At 48.5% G+C, this 14,492-nt stretch overlaps 1 protein-coding gene across 3 annotated transcripts in view, besides 3 other annotated features; it reads left to right on the top strand.

The window, feature by feature from the left end:
- ADAM19 (ADAM metallopeptidase domain 19) overlaps window positions 1-13,848 on the top strand; it is a 98,472-nt gene extending 84,624 nt beyond the window's left edge. For 2 of the 3 annotated variants that reach the window (NM_033274.5, XM_047417859.1), the window contains 5 exons: window positions 698-842; window positions 1,966-2,050; window positions 2,663-2,887; window positions 9,209-9,361; window positions 10,150-13,848. In NM_033274.5, the coding sequence (NP_150377.1) occupies window positions 698-842; window positions 1,966-2,050; window positions 2,663-2,887; window positions 9,209-9,361; window positions 10,150-10,203 (662 nt within the window). In that variant the 3' untranslated portion in view covers window positions 10,204-13,848. Of the gene's footprint in view, window positions 1-697; window positions 843-1,965; window positions 2,051-2,662; window positions 2,888-9,208; window positions 10,127-10,149 lie in introns of those variants that run through there. The other variant, XM_047417858.1, reaches the window with a different exon arrangement.
- Window positions 4,191-4,691: an enhancer, noted in NCBI's record as "H3K4me1 hESC enhancer chr5:156913469-156913969 (GRCh37/hg19 assembly coordinates)". NCBI's record gives its function as "activates a minimal SCP1, AML or CMV promoter by ChIP-STARR-seq in primed H9 embryonic stem cells {active_cell/tissue: H9 hESC(primed)}" and the evidence as "EXISTENCE:reporter gene assay evidence [ECO:0000049][PMID:30033119]".
- Window positions 4,434-4,523: a silencer, noted in NCBI's record as "silent region_16560". NCBI's record gives its function as "represses an Ori minimal core promoter by ATAC-STARR-seq in GM12878 lymphoblastoid cells {active_cell/tissue: GM12878}" and the evidence as "EXISTENCE:reporter gene assay evidence [ECO:0000049][PMID:35858748]".
- Window positions 11,715-12,225: an enhancer, noted in NCBI's record as "H3K27ac-H3K4me1 hESC enhancer chr5:156905935-156906445 (GRCh37/hg19 assembly coordinates)". NCBI's record gives its function as "activates a minimal SCP1, AML or CMV promoter by ChIP-STARR-seq in primed H9 embryonic stem cells {active_cell/tissue: H9 hESC(primed)}" and the evidence as "EXISTENCE:reporter gene assay evidence [ECO:0000049][PMID:30033119]".

Genomic DNA, 14,492 nt, shown 5'->3' with positions numbered 1-14,492 from the left:
AAGTTTTTTTTTTAAAAAAAATAGCAAATAACTTTAAAAAAAAAGCACCAAAATCTTTCAAGGAAGAAACCCCAATATGTAAAACTGATAAAAAGTAGTGTTTTGTTAGTACAAATACGTTCTCTATATTTACATTAACCACTTGAGAGAATATTGGGGTAGTTTTGATGAAACCAAATGTTAAGTTATGGATTATGGGTGAGATGTCTAGTCTTAAATCTGTCTGAGTCTTTTCGTTTCTTTGTTTTTTTTTTTTTTTTGAGACGGAGTCTTGCTCTGTCACCCAGGCTGGAGTGCAGTGGTGTGATCTCGACTTACTGCAACCTCCGCCTCCCGGGTTCAAGTGATTCTCCTGCCTCAGCCTCCTGAGTAGCTGAGACTACAGGCATGTGCCACCACACCTAGCTAATTTTTGTGTTTTTAGTAGAGACGAGGTTTCACCATGTTGGTCAGGATGGTCTTGATCTCTTTACCTTGTGATCTGCTGACCGCGGCCTCCCAAAGTGCTGGGATTACAGGCATGAGCCACTGTGCCCGGCCCATAATGTGTGTTTTTAATTATAATTTGTAAGTTAAAATAAGTAATACAAATTAAATGCAAATCAAATGCCTGAAGAAGAAGCACGAATACCTATTTTGAAATCTGCTGTAGCCGAGACAGCTTCTAAATCTCCCACTTGGGTTCTGTTTCTGGAAGGTGTGGGTCCTGTGGTAGCTGGAGTGTTGGTGGCCATCTTGGTGCTGGCGGTCCTCATGCTGATGTACTACTGCTGCAGACAGAACAACAAACTAGGCCAACTCAAGCCCTCAGCTCTCCCTTCCAAGCTGAGGCAACAGTTCAGGTATGACAGGGTTCAATGGAGGACTCAGGGTCAATTTATGGGTCACAAAGGTCTCCATAAATGGTACTTAGCAAAAGTGTTGGTGATAGTGGGTCTAATTCAGGGAAGACAAGTGCAAGATACATGCTGCCCTCTCCCCTGCTATGACTGTGACAGGCATTACTAGTTGATCTTATTGTAAGTACTCTACTGATTCTGGTCATCACTCCTGAGTTCTTCTCAGCAGAATATCCCCAACCAAATCAAGTTGAAATATAAAATAAAATCTATTTGCCATCCTTTGTCTAGTTGATTTATTCCCCATTTTATTTTATTTATTTTTGAGATGGAGTTTCACTCTTGTTGCCCAGGCTGGAATGCAGTGGTGCAATCTTGGCTCACTGCAGCCTCCGCCTCCTGAGTTCAAGCGATTCTCCTGCCTCAGCGTCCTGAGTAGCTGGGGCTACAGGTGCATGCCACCATACCCAGCTAATTTTTTGTATTTTTAGTAGAGACGGGGTTTCACCATGTTGACCAGGCTGGTCTCGAACTCTTGACCTCAGGTGATCTGCCCGCTTTGGCCTCCCAAAATGCTGGGATTACAAGCATGAGCCACCATGCCCAGCCCCCTCTTTGTCTTTTTAACCACTGTTGCTTTAAAGTTTGTTTCATCTGGTATAAGAATAGCTACTCCTGCTCGCTTTTGGTGTCCCATTTGAAAAGTGATGTATTATTTTGGATATGGAAGATGTACAGTCTCTGAGTCACCTATTAAATAACACTTGTTCTGGAGGGGATTTTAAGTCCCAGGTCTTTCTGGATCTATGCCTGATGGGGATTGGTTGATGGCTCGTGACACCCTTGTGTCTCCTCACAGGGGAAGGGTCTTAAAAGGGTGAAGAGAAGGTGCTGAGAGAGCTCTGCTTTGTATAAGGCCAACTCTGTTTCCTTGAGAGTTCTCCATTGGCCACACGTTTTTCTACTTAGGAAGATGTGGTTCGAGAAGACCAATCCCACTCCCTCCAGAGCAGACTTGGGAAAGATTTAGCTGCTTGCTGGCCGTGCTTGGGTCAAAGGGAACTCAGGCACTGTCCCCTGCTGAACATCGTCCCCTTTCTTTTCCTCCCCCATTTCTTGTTTCTAGTTGTCCCTTCAGGGTTTCTCAGAACAGCGGGACTGGTCATGCCAACCCAACTTTCAAGCTGCAGACGCCCCAGGGCAAGCGAAAGGTAAGAGCTTTGCACCACTGAACTTTGCTACTTTTCCTTTATCCCTCAGGGCCATGCTGTATTTTTCTTTTTGAGATGGAGTCTTGCCCTGTCGCCCAGGCTGGAGTACAGTGGCGCCATCTCAGCTCACTGCAAGCTCCGCCTCCAGGGTTCACGCCATTCTCCTGCCTCAGCCTCCCAATTAGCTGGGACTACAGGTGCCCACCACCATGCCTGGCTAATTTTTGTATTTTTAATAGAGACGGGGTTTCACCGTGTTAGCCAGGATGGTCTCCATCTCCTGACCTCGTGATCCACCCGCCTCGGCCTCCCAAAATGCTGGGATTACAGGCATGAGCCACCATGCCCGGCCGCCATGCTGTGTTTTTCTAAGAGCCTCTGTGGGCCCATGGGATTGGTAATAAAAGCCCTTTTATTGGCTGGAGAGACATGTTATTTGGTTCTGACATCCCCTAATGACTTTAAAGGTTGCATCTGACTTCTGGGATCCTCAGGGGTTTAATAGATTGGTGTGTCTGTTCTCCCTTTGGGCTCTGGTTTATCTCAAAGAGACACACAAGGCCAGCCCTGAGTGATTTCTTGTCTCAGGTGTTCCTTGACTTGTGCGTACAGGTGATCAACACTCCGGAAATCCTGCGGAAGCCCTCCCAGCCTCCTCCCCGGCCCCCTCCAGATTATCTGCGTGGTGGGTCCCCACCTGCACCACTGCCAGCTCACCTGAGCAGGGCTGCTAGGAACTCCCCAGGGCCCGGGTCTCAAATAGAGAGGACGGAGTCGTCCAGGAGGCCTCCTCCAAGCCGGCCAATTCCCCCCGCACCAAATTGCATCGTTTCCCAGGTAAGTGGATAATCAGCAACCTTGGGCTGGGAACATTGCTTTTAAGGCCACTTTCAATGGGTAATGGCAAAGGTGGGGAAGGTGAAACTTGTGGGGTCATGAGCTGACTGCCTTTTCTGCAATTCAGTCAATACGGGGGCGCACAGCAGGTTAGAGCAACGAACGTGGGGAAATAGACTCTCTAAGAAGCTCCTAAACCATGTGGCATTTTCTCCCGGGTTGGCCTATTTTATGACAAGCCACTACCCACCTTCCACCCCATATTAACTTCTGTCAGTTCCCCCATGCTCGTCTGCCTGCTAGGTCTTTGTAAATGCTGCTTGTTCTGCCTGATACGCTCCTTCTCTCCTTGGTGGGGCCACCTCCTGCTCATCCTCAGATCTGCTCCTAGATGCCGCTTCTCCCAGGAAGTCTATCCTGATTCCTCAATTCTGAGGTTGATGGGACTGTACTTCTCTCATCATAGTACTCTTCCTACCAAATTGTACCTATTGGTACCTTCTACTGATTGGAAAGTCTTAGGGATGTATCCTGATGCCTTGCCCATCCCAAGGGGCAGGTGCCTCTGGGAGGTGAGAGTGGGGTCTAGACTCTCCCCCACCAGCCCTGGTGCTCTTGGAGGCATAGCCTGCCCAGCAGCCTGTTCCCACTGCGTGTGTGTGCTCTGATGGCTCTGACCACACCTTCTGCAGGAGATCCCCCAGTGCAGACACAGGTGTTTCCTGGGTGGCGGCCGGGTGGGGTGCCTTCTGGAACTGGCCTGTGTGTTTTGGGTGTGACCCCTCAACTGAGACTGCTTTCTCTGGGTGTAATCCAGAGGGCTCCATGGAACCCAAGCTGTCTCTGACCCTAAGGACTCTGGGGTTGGCTGCAGGCTTTGGAGGGTCCTTGGGATGTGTGGCAGTGGTACAGTTTGGGAAGGCTGAGGGCATCCATTCTGTTTCTCTGCTGTGAAACTGCTGCTCTCCCCTTCCTTTTATGTGGGGCAGAGGTAGGATGGAAAAATCCATGCAGAAAGAGAGGAAAGATTGACAGGGAGAGAGAAGGAAAGAGGAAAGGAAAAAAGCAAGAGAGGGGAGGAGTGGAGAGAGAGAGGTGGAGAGTGTACTCGTGTGCTGAGGGTGCTATAGCAGAGTACTGCACACTGGGTGGCTTCAAAACAGACACTTATTTTCTCACAGTTCTAGAGGCTAAGAGTCCAAGGTCAAGGTGCTGGAAGGGTTGATTTCTGAAGCCTCTCTCTGTGGCTTGCAGGTGGCCGCCCTCTTGCTGTGTTCTCACGAGGCCTTTCCTATGCACTTCTGCCTCCCTGGTGTCTGCCTGTCCAACTCTCCTCTTCTTATGAGGACACCAGATTGGATTAGGTGGCCTCATTCTATCCTAATCACCTCTTTAAAGACCTTATCTCTAAATATGGTCACATTCTGAGGTACTCAGGGTTAGGGCTTCAGCATATGATTTTTTTTTTTTAAATGATGAGTGCACAGTTCAGTCCCTAACAGAGAGATGAAAGAAAGGGAGAAAGCAGGCGTGTAGAGACTTGGGGTTACAGGAGAACAGGAGTGCCAGCAGAGGGAGGAGGGAGTGGGTCGGGCGAGCAGTCCACTCAGACTGTTGTTCTGAAAAACCCACACTAGAGGCATGTTCAGAGAACACGGGGCCAGCCTCACCCCTGTCACCCCTAGGTGCTGAGCCGTAGGTCAGGAAGTGTCAGGGACAGCGGGGACCCAGCTGTCTGTTAAGTGGTGGAGGCTGTGCATACCCTGCACCTGCACCCCTGGGACTGCTGGCAGGAGTCCCGGGTGCAGGAAGCTGCCCAGCCAGTGGCAGGCACCCCAAAACACAGCCCCCAAGCACAGCTTCTCCTGGGCCCCGGGTCCCAGGTGGGTGTCTCTCTACAAGCGAACAGTGGGAGGCAGCTGCTCTGAGTGGGGGCTGCTGTGATGACATTGGGCTGCCACCTGCCTCCTCACAGCCATTCCAAGAAGGGAGTTGCTGCAGCCCTCATTTCTCTTGGAGGTTGCCAGGCCTCATAGGATTGAAGGGACTTGCCCGACATTGCACAGTTGTGAGTGGAGGAGCTAGGACTTGAACCCAGGTCTCATCCAGCTGAGTGAGACAGCCTCCTGCCCTGGGGCCACTCACAGTCTCCAGTCTGCCATCAAAGATTCCCCACCTCCTAGCTGGGGGACATGGACCCCCTGGAGAAGTGATAGATGAAACCTCATCACTTCTTCAGTTCTGCTATTCTAAACCGGCTTATGCACCTGCACTCTGGGCCAGGCAATGACGAGGAAGGCAGATGGCAGCTTTGCCTCCAGGAGCTCACATTCTGCTGGGGCAGTGACTCTGGGATATGTGTCACTGCAACAGTGATATGTGCTGTGAAGGAGAGGCTCAGGGTGCTCAGAAGAGAGTAACGAGGATTTGACCTAATCTGGGAAATCCAGGAAGGTTTCCCTGAGGTGGTGACATTTGAGCTGAGACATGAAGGAGGAACAGGACTTAACCAGGCTGTGAGGGCAAGTGATGAAGGAGCTTTCCTGGTCCCAGGACCCACTAGTAGGGAGGCTCTGTCATGGGAGAGGGCCCTGTGGATTGAAGGAACTTAAAGGTTTGTGTGCTTGGGTCCCAAGGAGCTATGAGATGAGGCTGGAAAGCCAGGAGGAGCCCGTCTATGCCCAGGCCACATAGCCTTGGTCAGGACTTTGGTCTGTATTCCATAGGAAGAGGACAGTGGTGACATGATGCAATTTTCTGTTGACAAGGATTGATCACTCTTTGGGATATCTTTAGGCAGGAGAGAGGTGTAGTTCCTGCAAGGGGCCCATAGATGCTTCTGAAGCTGTTAATCTACTGTTTGACCTGCATGGGGATTACTTAGTGTATTCACGTTGTGATAATTCATCTAGTTGTATATTTATGATTTGTTCGCCTTTTTCTGTGTGTATTATATTTGAATTTTTAAAATAGTTTTAAAAAATGAAAGTCACTCTAGAAGCAAATGGGTGTCCTAGTTAGAAGATTTAAAGGTTGTCCTGAAGAAAGATGGTAAAAGCTTGGAGCAGGGAGTAGGCAGGGCTGATGAAGTGAAGCTGATGAGAAATGTGCAGAAGAGAAAATAGATAACGAGTTGAAGATCCATTGCTTGGCAGGGGATGACGCCCCGTGTCAGGCTTGTGCAATCTGATTGAGTAAGATGCCATCCCTTGTGGAAGGGAGCATGGGCCAGAGTAGCTGAGGGACTGTTTCTGCTCTAGAAAAAGGAAAACAGTGCTGGGCGAGGGCCCTGGTAGGGCTGAGTTGGATCATCGCAGATGTGGCCTGTGGCTGGTTGCCCTGGGAGGCCCAGTGCTGACATGCTGATGAGGCTCCTGCCCAAACTCCAGCCCCTCAGTGGCTCATTTGCACAGCTCCCTTGGGAGCACAGCCTTTCCCAGTTGCAACCTGACATCTGCACCCAGCTGTCACCTGCCCCAGAAGGTCTCTATCCTGGCTTCCAGCAACCATTGCAACTTGGCAGCTATTCTGAGCTGGGGAAGGTGGTGGTGAAGGGGGCGGGTTGTATTGTCCTTCTAGATAGAGCTGAAGAACATGGCTTTTTGGCCTTAAGAATTTGCTTTAGTTTCTGATTCCATGAAGCTTCTTGGGGAAAATCTCGGCTCTTTGTGTTATTCCTGCCCTCTCTATGTGCTTGCCTTTTGTCCACTTTAATACGTGGTAGTGACCCTCTCGAGAAGGGAAGGAAGTCAAGGGGAGCAGGCACTGGAACTCCCTTCTATGCAGTTGGCTTCCCCTTAAACCCCAACAGCTTGGGGGCCTGCGGGTGGGACAGTCATTCTTTGCCCCTTAAAAAACAATGGATCAACTAATACGTGTTGAGCACCTACTGTATACTAGGCACTGTTCTGGAAGCCAAAGATGTATCAGTGAACCAAACAGATACGGACCCCACACTGCTTCCACTCTAGAGGGGAATGGAGAGACACAAAGTAAAAATCAACTGGATAAGTAAATAAATTATATATGTTGTAAGGCAGTAAGTGATATGAAAAGAAAAGAAGAGGTATATTAGGATAAAAAGGTCAGGGAATGTCAGGGTGGGGGCTGTTGTAATTTTAAATAAGGTAGTCAGGGCAAAGCCTTGTGGAGATGGTGAGAACATGAAGGTAATAGTAACACAGGAAGGACAGAATCCATGAAATGTGCCACACACATGGACAACCAACATGAACAAAATATAGCTGCTGCTTTGTTTAAATTTTGTTTTAATCTTAACAGGCAATACACGTACATGCTCTTGTTAAAAAAAAAAAAAAAGGAATGTTCAAGGGCTGGGCGTGGTGGCTCACACGTGTAATCCCAGCACTTTGGGAGGCCAAGGCAGGCAGATCACCTGAGGTCAGAGTTCGAGATTGGCCTGACCAACATGGCGAAACCCCGTCTCTACTAAAAATACAAAAATTAGCTGGGCATGGTGGTGGGTGCCTGTAATCCCAACTACTCAGGAGGCTGAGGCAAGAGAATCGTTTGAACTCCGGAGGCAGAGGTTGCAGTAAGCCGAGATCATGCCATTACACTCCAGCCTGGGGGACAGAGCAAGACTCCATCTCAAAAAAAAAAAAAATGGAATGTTCACCTGGAACACACCCCTCCCCTTTTGCACCCCATCCCAGTGTAATCTCTTTGGTCTGTATCCTTCCTTTTTTCTGTTACAGACATTTCTATTAGGCGGTGAGCGTGCTGACTTATTTTATGTCAACTATCCTCTACAGCTTGTTTGTTCCACCTAACAACTCTTGAACATCTCCCCACGCCAGCCCCTATCAACCTACTTCATTCTTTTTAAGTGCTATATCATCTGTCACTTTATAATTTTAGTTATTTTTCTGCTGATGAAATTTTGCTTATTTATAGTTTCTTTGCTGTTACAAACAGTGCTGCAAGGAACAACCTTGCAGTTTCATTTTTGTGCACGTGTGCAAATAGTTCTCTAACATAGGTCAGAAGAAGTAGAATTACTAGATCAGAGAACAGTTATTTGTAATTTTTTTTATTATACTTTAAGTTCTGGGGTACATGTGCAGAATGTGCAGATTTGTTACATAGGTATACACATGCCATGGTGGTTTACTGCACCCATCAACCCGTCATCTACATTAGGCATTTCTCCTAATGCTATCCCTCCCCTAGCCCCCCACCACCCAACAGGCCCCAGTATGTAATGTTCCCCTCCCTGTGTCCATGTGTTCTCATTTCATGTTCATCTCCCACTTATGAGTGAGAACATGTGGTGTTTGGTTTTCTGTTCTTGTGTTATTTTGCTGAGAATGATAGTTTCCAGCGTCATCCATGTCCCTGCAAAGGACATGAACTCATCCTTTTTTATGGCTGCATAGTATTCCATGGTGTATATGTGCCACATTTTCTTGATTCAGTCTATCATTGATGGGCATTTGGGTTGGTTCCAAGTCTTTGCTGTTGTGAATAGTGCCACAATAAACATACGTGTACATGTGTCTTTATAGTAGAATGATTTATAATCCTTTGGGTATATATCCAGTAGTGGGATTGCTGGGTCAAATGGTATTTCTAGTTCTAGATCCTCCCTATTTAATAATGGTGCTGGGAAAACTGTCTAGCCATATGCAGAAAGCTGAAACTGGATCCCTTCCTTACACCTTATACAAAAATTAACTCAAGATGGATTAAAGACTTAAACTAAGACCTAAAACCATAAAAACCCTAGAAGAAAACCTAGGCAATACCATTCAGGACATAGGCATGGGCAAAGACTTCATGACTAAAACACCAAAAGCAATGGCAACAAAAGCCAAAATTGACAAATGGGATCTGATTGAACTAAAGAGCTTCTGCACAGCAAAAGAAACTATCATCAGAGTGAACAGGCAACCTACAGAATGGGAGAAGATTTTTGCAATCTATCCATCTGACAGAGGGCTAATATCCCCAATCTACAAAGAACTTAAACAGATTTACAAGAAAAAATCAAACAACCCTATCAAAAAGTGGGTGAAAGATATGAACAGACACTTCTCAAAAGAAGACATTTATGCAGCCAACAAACATATGAAAAAAAGATCATCTTCACTGGTTATTTGTAATTTTAATAGATACTGCCAGCTTGCTCTCCTGACTTCCTCTTGAGAATATAAACACATTATACATACAGTTTCTTTCTAAATGGGACCATACAGTATATAACTTTTATCTATCTGATTTTAACCTGTAAGATATCAGGGATATTTTCTTTCAAACAGGCCTCTGGCCTTCAAGTGAGGCTTATTGCTTTCTCTCCAGGACTTCTCCAGGCCTCGGCCGCCCCAGAAGGCACTCCCGGCAAACCCAGTGCCAGGCCGCAGGAGCCTCCCCAGGCCAGGAGGTGCATCCCCACTGCGGCCCCCTGGTGCTGGCCCTCAGCAGTCCCGGCCTCTGGCAGCACTTGCCCCAAAGGTGAGTCCACGGGAAGCCCTCAAGGTGAAAGCTGGTACCAGAGGGCTCCAGGGGGGCAGGTGTAGAGTTGAGAAAACAAAGCAATTCATGCTTCTTGTGGTCTGGACTGAACTTCCAGAACAAAAGCCAAGGGCAAAACATTCATGTTTCTTGGTGCCCGCTTGACTGTGGAGTTTTGGCTTCATGTGAAAGGTGATTCTTAGAATCCTGAGCTGTGGTGGCTTCAGTCCTGCCCCTGCACCTGACCTGGGGAGGGACCCTGAGCAAGTCCCTCTTGAGTCTGTTTCCTCATTTGTACAGAGGCTATGATGAGCAGTAGTACCAGCCCCATCAGGTTGTTGTGAAGAGCAAGGAAGTGCATTAGTAGAAGCCACCTGGCCTGCGGGAGGCTGTGTACACTTGGCCCCTCCTCGTACTTCTTCTGTGTGGCTGACAGTCTCAGTTTGCCAGTCTTGGCAGTCAGGTCAGAAAGGGATGAGGTGAAGAAGCTGGCTGACCATGCTGTATTCCCACGAGGCATTGAGAAAACTATGGACTGTGCTGCTGCCTTAGCAGGGAAGGGAAGAGGGAGGGGTGGCTGGTCAGCTTGAGATAGGGGCACCTACCACACCCCTTCCTGCAGGGCTGATGGTCTGGGTGAGTGGACACATGGATGGACTTCACAAGAAGCCTTTGTTCTCAGTGGGTGGTCCATCCTTCCTTCTAAAATCGGGAGGATGGCTGCCCCCTTGATCCCATTGATCAGCATCAAGCTGATGTCTCTCTCCCTCCCTTCTTTTTCTTCCCAGTTTCCAGAATACAGATCACAGAGGGCTGGAGGGATGATTAGCTCGAAAATCTAGACCTGTCCAAGGGGCTTCTCCCTTTCCTTGAGCTCTCTGGACACTGCAGAGGACCCATGGCCATGGAACCCTGAAGAAGCATGTCTGGCCGCCTCTGAGCTCCTCCCACCCTCCTCCAGGAACCTCCACATCTCCAAAAATCTCCCTGTTGACTCAGTGCCTCCTCGGCTTCCTTGGAAGCCCAGAGGGACTATGATCTGATGGCCTCTAGGTGTTGTTTTGTGCAATATACAGCCCCAGGTAGGGAGGGGAGAGTATGAGGAGGGTGACTGGCAGCTTCTCCTCCAGACTCCTAGCCCCGAGGTGCTGATGGAGATGCTCAAGGCCAGCAAGCCCCTCAGGCCAGCACTTCGCTTGCAGAAGCCATCCATTCACTCCTGGGGTGCAGGGCACGCAAGAGAGCTTCCCATTGCTTCTGCTCTCCTCAGAGGTCCCGGGCTGGATGGAGGCTGGTACTTACCCACCCCTTTTAGCTTTTAGGGATTAAGGAAGGGTCAAGCCAGCCACTGCTGTGGCCCTGCCCAGGGCTTGGTTGAGGGAACGGCTTCTGGCTGTATGGCTGCATGTGACAAGCCACGTCCCCTCCCACCTCTCCCCAAACCCCTGCATCCCTGTATTCACACGGGTCACTCTGACTCAGACAGGTACTATTCGTAGGCAGTGTAGACAGCAGGAGGAGCACCGGGCTTGGGCTTCCTCTGAGCCGTGATGCCAAAGGTTGCGACTCCTGACTCTGGATAATTTTTAGTTGCTCTTTGTTTTCTCTGCCGCACTTTCCTGGTGCCCCACGCTTTTCTCTCTTCCTTCCCCTCTCATTCTCCCTCTAATGTGTGGTGCTTTGGTGAGCAAACCCTCAGCAGTCCTGACCTTCGGGTGACCAGGTGCTTGTGACCTACAAGTCAGAGTCCTCTCTCACAGTCGGCCACTGGATTTCCCTCACTGGCTCTCAGGAGTGTGACCAGAGTAGACTTGGGGCATGGCCATTGGGGTCATATGTTTATTTTTCATTGTGTTTTGTGACCTCAGCAGGGTGGGGGTCTTCCTCCTTACTCTAAGCTAAATCTAGGTGAGGTTTCCCCTTAGGGAGCCCAGCTATTTACAAAGTACACACGAGGGAGCAGGCTGGTCATTGACTTCGGGCTGGACCGTTGCCCTCTGAGCAGAGAACAGACCCATTTCTGGGAGCTGCCCGAGATCACTGGAGAAGGCAGCCAGCAGCAGCTGCACTGGAACAGTCAGAGCAGGGAGCCTCTTCCTCAACCCAGCTTTTTGTCATTCACTTCCTTTTGTTCTCTCTCTGGTCACTGCCCTTACCTGACCCTCACAGAAAGAGAGCTCTGAGCAGGTGAGGGGGTCTGCGGTGGCTCCTGTCTTCCCTGCAGCAGGGAAGGAGGGCCGTGTGGTGCTTTGCTAGATAGGACGGTTTTTGCAAAGCACCTGGAGATGTTTGCTGGGAGATAGACTCCCACTCCACAAAGGTGCTGGGTGGCTCTCCGGACAGGAGCTGGCCTGACTCTCACTCCTCTGAGGCTTTCCTGGGGCCTCCTCCCATCCTGCCATGAGCAATTGTTTGCTCTTGAAAACCTCACTGCAAGGCTGAGGCTGAGCTTCTGATTCACCACCCCAGGGCCTCCTTATAGTTCTCTGCACACAATAGGTGCTTCTTGGATGTTCTTGGGTTTGGAAATAAGTGGAAAATACGGGATGTACCCCTGGGGGAAAAGCCTGGGTTGGGTTTAGAAAGATCTCAGGAAAATGAGTTTCTCTTCCCTCAGGGTGGCTGTGATACAGGTTCCCCATGTCCTTGCCGTGGGTCATCCTTGCTGTGGGTCATCCTTGCTGTGGAGATCCATTCCCCACCTTTCCTGTGGCCCAACCTTTTATTTAAATGTGCTACCCTCTGCCTCAAGGCTTGGTTCCTGGAAAGTAAAGGTGAAAACATCCCCTTTCACCCCTCTGCAAAACAAACAAGCAACATCCTCAAAACCCAACCCCATGCCTCACAGAGCTTCCTGTGGCTTCTCCAGCCTTTCTCCCTCACATCAGGAGGTAGATAGCTCTGAAATGACAGCGCCACAGCCATAGTGACTGCATGAGCCATCTGAACCTGCAGTCCACCCTCCCTGGAACCACACCAGAAAGAGACCTGGGTTGTCGTTTTCTTGCTTTTTGTTTTGTTTTGTTTTATTATTTTCATATCACCTCCATCCCATAAAGTTGTACTGTGAACTGGAAGATGGTGGAATGTTTTGGAATTTGATAGACTTTCGGCAACCAGTTCTACTAATGCTTCACTCCTGGCTCTGTTCAGGGAGGCTGCCCAGGAGGAAGACTGGCCATTATGCATCCCCTTTTCTTTCCAGTGCCCAGTATGCTGTTTTGAGGTGTCAAATACAAATAAATCTGGGCTTAGGGAAGGAGAGACCTTATTCCAAAGCACGATTGCAGAAGGGGAAAGGGAATATTGCAAAAGGGAGAGGAAGGGGCCTTATGGGAATAGTGAAAAGGCTCAGACCGACCGATGGCAAGATCTGCAAGCGTCTCAAAGCCCAGGCAGAAAAGGACTTTTCTTTTATTGGAAGAAGTAAACATGGCTAGAAAGAACCACGTTCAGGGAATGACGTTGTGCCCAGCCTTTTTTTTTTTTTTTTTTTTTTTGTCTCCAGGGGAGGGGCTGTTTGCTGGCTCAGGCTGAGGATGGCCCAAAGTCCAGGGTCTGGTGGGGAGGAGGGAAGCTTAACTCAAGTTTGGGTTAGTGAGTTAGCAAGCTCTTTGTGCAGATGGGGATGTAGGTAAATCTTTTTAAAAGTGAAATTAACCTCCTGCCAATTTTACAACCCAAGAATTTTTTTTTAAGGGCCTTGGAGCCATCTCTAAAACAAACCTCAAGGGATTTAGTGCCCTGTCTCCCTGTCTCTAGAAGCCTTAGCCTGGGCACCTGGCTCAATCTTGTAACTGCCTGCTAGCCATAGATTCCTTTCAGCCTTGCTGACTTCTCCCTATAAAAGTAAAGCCTTTTTCTGCCCCAGCTCTGAGACACTTGCAGATCTTAAGGTCTGAGACTTGCTGATTTTCTGGTTGGAGTGTTTTTTTGTATTGCCATAGTCCCTTCCCCCTGAAGCAATAGCCCCTCCCCACCTCCTGCAATACGCCTTTCCAATCTTTATTGGAAGTCTCTCCCTGCCTACTTCCTAATTTATTCTTATTTGACAGAGGGTATGGAAGACTTGCAATTTGAAAACTGGGGACCAGTTCCAAAGTCAGTAATTGTGTTAACCACGTGTATAACAGCTCTGCTGGACACCCAAGAAAGCCATGGGAACGCCAACTGGAAAGGTCCCCTTCCCCAGGGGAGCCTGCGAAGGAGAGGTTCTGTAGAATCCAAGCCCACATTTCCAAAGTCACCCCCAACGCGTCCTCTCACACCGTCCACTGTGCGTTTGTATGTGTCTGGGATCCAGGGCAATGTGAATTTTCTTTTTATTTGGGAGATTGTTCACGGAAAACAGATCTTCTTCTCTCTTGTCCACCTATTAATTGTTTACAATATTTGTACATCTATGCAAAATACTTGAATGGGCCATGGTGCCTTTTTTCCTTGTTAGTATTTAATTAAAAATGAATTGTTTGTCATTTGCAATGTTATCTGGTTTGGCAGCTCTTTATTGTGTGTTTGTTGTAATGTCCTACTGCTCAGATTAGATAGGATTCATGACGTGGACTTCAGAAAGAGTTCCCACAAGGATGGTCAGTTCAGCCTATAAAGCCTTCATGGTGGACCCTGAGCCACAGCAAAGCCTATGTTTTCCTATGACCAGTAGAGGGGGCTGTTTGTCTTTACACCTGGACGCAGGCTGCTTATTAAAGGCCTGAATGATCCTGAGATTCTTCGATATGTTTTTTCTCATCCTACACTACTGCATATAGAAGACAGCTGAGAGCCTCTGCTCACCTCCTCATCTTATTAAGGCAAGGGATCATACTTTAAAGAGGGGAGACACTTGCCCCAGGTCTCTTGGGCTGGGTAGGCAGGCACAGCCAGGGATAAGGTTGGGTGTGCTTTCTGATTCCAGAACCCTGCGTGATATCACAGCTCGTATTCATTAGTGCTTCCCAGTCCATAAAAGGATCCCACCCTTATTCTCTCATTGATCCCTACCTCAATTTTGAGGTTCTCTCAGAGAGATGGAGGATTAATAACCATGATCGAAGGTAACAGTTACTCAGTACAGTCGGCCCCCCATATCCGTGGGTTTCAAATTCATGGATTCAACCAACAGCAGGTTGAA

The sequence above is a fragment of the Homo sapiens genome, chromosome 5 (genome assembly GCF_000001405.40).
Source record: "Homo sapiens chromosome 5, GRCh38.p14 Primary Assembly".
NCBI lineage: Eukaryota > Metazoa > Chordata > Mammalia > Primates > Hominidae > Homo > Homo sapiens.
The sequence above is the reverse complement of the archived record's forward strand: the minus strand, read 5'-3'. Positions and strand labels throughout refer to the sequence as shown.